The following is a 4515-nucleotide window of genomic DNA, read 5'->3' as shown; positions in this document are numbered from 1 at the left end:
AGACTAATCTTTAACATCTGACTATATTTGACTTACTATTTGAGTGTTCTTCAACCATGTGTGACATTTTATTTGATAAAGTAAGATTTGTCAAAAAAAAAAAAAGACAACCTTCTTCTCCTTGGAAAATTGTTTCTGTATCATGGTTTTAGCCAACATTCATAAATTTATCCCCTTTGTCTTACTCTATCTCCCTACCAGATTGTTCTTTTGGATGTTAGAACTGTGTATAACAATAGTTTCTTATGCATTTCTCCTTGGATGACCACCAACTCATCCACCTAAAACTTAACATGTGAAAGAATGAACTCATCTTTCCTCCCCATCCTTGCTCCTAGTCTCTGGTTCATATCTCTGGGAATGGCCAAGGACAAGTGGGAACTGTTGGAAGATGTTCAACACATTCTCATTGTTTTTTCTTTCCCGCTCAACACCCCAACTAAAGTGAACTTCTTTTAATTCTTTTGTAAGATATGTTTTCTCTGGCCTCTGGGTCTTTGCTCAACTGATTCTTATATACTCACCCTCCTCCACCTTCATACAGCCAATTTCTGCCAATATCTTTAGGTCTCACTATACAGTTAGCCCTCTGAATTCAAGGTTCCACACCCATGGATTCAACCAACTGCAGACTGAAAATATTCAGGAAGACAATAGAAAAATTACAACACAACAATAAAAAACAAATTTTTAAGCAACACAGTAAAACAACTATTTAAAAAAGCATTTACATTGAATTAGGTATTATAACGAATCTAGAGATGACTTAAGGTATACAGGAAGATATGCATAGGCTATATTTATGCAAATATTATGCCATTTTCTATAAAAGACTTGAGGATCTGCAGGAGTCTGGGAACCAATCCTGCCCCACCATCCCCCACTGTAGATACCAAGGGGCGACCATATATATTGTTTCTTTTAATTTCCAAGTCTGAATGGTCCACTTTTGTGCTTTTCTCAGGCTTTCCACATATAAGTGCTGAAATCATGCACTGAAACACTCAGGGGAGCATTATTTACATCATGGTCTATGGCAATGGTGCTGCTGGAGTTGTGCGATGTGGTAACCATGTCATAATGTCCCTATCACAGTGCTAACCGCACTGTATTGTAACTGCCTGCTGACTTATCCATCGTTCTCACTGAGTAGACAAGGGACATCACACTAGATACCAGAAGTCAACGTATGAAAACATCAAATCTTTACCTCCATCATGAGGCCATGTAGGCACATACCCTCTACTCATATACCATACCAGAAAGTAATTTTAGGGAAAGAAGCAGAGAAGGAGAAGTCATCTAAGAAACTGAGTATTTTATCTAAGACTTAATATTTCCTAAAAGGTGTAAGAATAAGTACCTGCCAAGGCAAGGTAGCTCACGCATATAATTCTAGCACTTTGGCAGGCCCAGGAGGGAGGATTGCTTGAACCCAGGGGTTAGAGCCCAGCCTGGACAACATAGGTAGACCTCATTTCTACAAAAAGTAAAAAAAAAAAATAGTTGGCATGATGGTGCACACCTGTGGTCCCAGCTACTCAGGAGGCTGAGGTGGGAGGATCACTTGAACCTGGGAGGTCAAGGCTGCAGTGAGCCGAGATCATGCCACTGCACTCCAGCCTGGGTGACAGAGGTGACAGAGGGAGACCCCGTCTCAAAAAACAACAACAACAACAACAAAAGTAACAAGCTGACCATCAGAAAATAAGCACCATGATAGCAGATTGCTCTTCATTGGTCCATTTTAAATTCCCTGCCCCTAGGAGAGTGTCTCACACATAGCAGTCCCTGAAGAAAGGTTTTACTGAATGAACAAAGAAGTCAAGTTGTCTTATGATTAATGTATTAGACTATATGTAAACTGAATTGAGGGCCCATGAGGAAGACGAGAACAGAGCTAGACAGGCATCCATGTTGCTGTATTGTGTTAAATTTGTGGTCCCCCACATGTTAGCATGTTAAGAATTCCTTAGGATCAGGAAGCTTTGTAAGGCTATTTAATTTATTCAGGGACAATTCAGGAGAAAGAAGGAAAAAAACAGGAAAAGAATTCATGGAAACTAGAATCACAGGAAAGCTGAATATATTCTATAGATTTCCTGGCTCTTTAACAAGTAACATTTCTACAGCATTTTATAGACCCACAGAACTTTACATACCTTATCTCCTCAGCTACTCACCATGGAAGATAGAGACTACTATGTCATTTCCTTCCTGTCAAAGATAAAGATAATATCTCTCTACATTAAGTAGAGTTCTTTTAAAAAGTTTCTTTTACATCTTAAAGGTCATGAAAGTTGATCATCAAGAGCTGTTTGCTTTCTTTCCATTGTGTTTACTTTATTTTCAATAGAGTTCTGTTTGTTGAAAAGACAAGTACAAAAACAAATTTTAATGGAACTGGATTGTGTTGGGGATTAGAAAACAATGCCCCAAACGAAGGTCTCCGCAGGAGCCTCAGAAGCAAAAGTTTTTCTCTGATCTCCTGTCTCCCTGTCTCTCAATCCCATTCTCCCCCTCGCCGCCAGGTTAGCTAGAATCCCTCTTCCCAAAGGTAGGTGATAGAAACCAGAAGTCCTTTTCCCCAGAGCCAGCCATAAAACCTAAAAATATTATTCTGTCCCTCTGTTCAAGCTGTGTAAAAATGGGCTACAAAGAAATTACTCAACCTACCTTGTTTGACTGCAGGTCATAAGACCCCCATTCCAGAGAAGGCCCTGCCCCACACCCAGAAGGAAGGAATACATGCTCAGAGAGGCGAAGAAGAATCAAGAATGACAGGCCTTGCTGGATTTGCCCACTCAGTCTATTAATATTCGATCATATTCTTTTAGTTCAGTTATATTTCTTTTTTTTTTTTTTTTTTTTTTTTTTTTTTTTGAGACGGAGTCTCGCTCTGTGGCCCAGGCTGGAGTGCAGTGGCGGGATCTCGGCTCACTGCAAGCTCCGCCTCCCGGGTTCACGCCATTCTCCTGCCTCAGCCTCCCAAGTAGCTGGGACTACAGGCGCCCGCCACTACGCCCGGCTGATTTTTTTTTGTATTTTTAATAGAGACGGGGTTTCACCGTTTTAGCCGGGATGGTCTCGATCTGCTGACCTCGTGATCCGCCCGCCTCAGCCTCCCAAAGTGCTGGGATTACAGGCGTGAGCCACCGCGCCCGGCCTAGTTCAGTTATATTTCTACACAGCTATCCATACTGTGTTGAACCTAAGCATAAAAACGGACAATTTGGCAGATGAAAACCACAATGAGAGATCATCTCACAGCAGTCAGGATGGCTTTTTTTTTAAAGTAAAAAAAAAAAACAGATGTTGGTGAGCCTGCAGAGAAAAAGGAACACTTAGGCACTGTGGATGGGAATGTAAGTTAGCGCAGCCACTGTGGGAACCAGTTTGAAGATTTCTCAAAGAACTAAGAGTTGAACTATCATTCAACTCAGCAATCCCACTTTCAAAGGAAAATATGTCATTCTACTGAAAAGACACTTACCCTGTGTGTTCATCTCAGCTCTGTTCACAATAGCAAAGACATGGAATCAACCCAAGTGCCTATCAGTGGTGGACTGGATAAAGCAAATGTGGTACATATACACCACAGAATACTACACAGCCATAAAAAAGAATGAAATAATGTCCTCTGCAGCAGCATGGATGCAGCTGGAGGCCATTATACTAAGTGAATTAATGCAGAAACAGAAAACTGCATGTTTTCACTTACAAGTTGTAGCTGCATATTAGGTACACATGGACACAAAGATGGGAACAATAAACATTGGGTACTACTAGGCAGGGAGAGAGAGGGGAGCAAGGGCTGAAAAACTATTGGGAACTATGCTCACTACCTACGTGATGGATTCATTCATACTACAAGTCTCAACATCATGCAATATATGTTTGCAATAAACCTGCACATGTACCCCCAATCCTAAAATAAAAGCTGAAAAAAATGGACAATTTTTTCTGTATCTTTGGGTCTTTATGCTGAAGGCTCCCATGTATACATGTTAAGCAAATTTGTAAGTTTTTATTCTATTAATCAATGTGCCTCATATCAGTAATTTTTCAGCGAGTTTTAGGGGGTCAAGGGCATTGGCCCCCACAGTTACTAGGTTAAAGTTTCATTAACTGTTTTCCACACAGCCTAAGATTCCATAAAATGTGCTGAGGTGCATTGATGTATTAACTAAGAAGGGTTACCTGTAGACATTTTAGTGGCAATTATGATTCTTTCATATTTCCATTGAAAATACCACTGAATCTGATCTTTTTTTCTCAGCTATAAAGTACATATTTAAATGCACCCTATAGTGATGCATCTGTTCCTAAGTGCAACCAAAATCCACACTAAAAAGATACCAGAATAATGTAACTGCCTGGTTAAGTTTCTATATTTCAACATGTTTAAACTATGTGACTTTAAAATATTGGAAAACTTTTGGTTAGTTTTTTTTTCCTTTACAGCCACCCACTTTTGTGTGTATCAGTTACCATTAGAGTTCTTTTTAATGTATA

This window comes from Homo sapiens, chromosome 3 (assembly GCF_000001405.40).
Source record: "Homo sapiens chromosome 3, GRCh38.p14 Primary Assembly".
Lineage (NCBI taxonomy): Eukaryota > Metazoa > Chordata > Mammalia > Primates > Hominidae > Homo > Homo sapiens.
The sequence above is the reverse complement of the archived record's forward strand: the minus strand, read 5'-3'. Positions refer to the sequence as shown.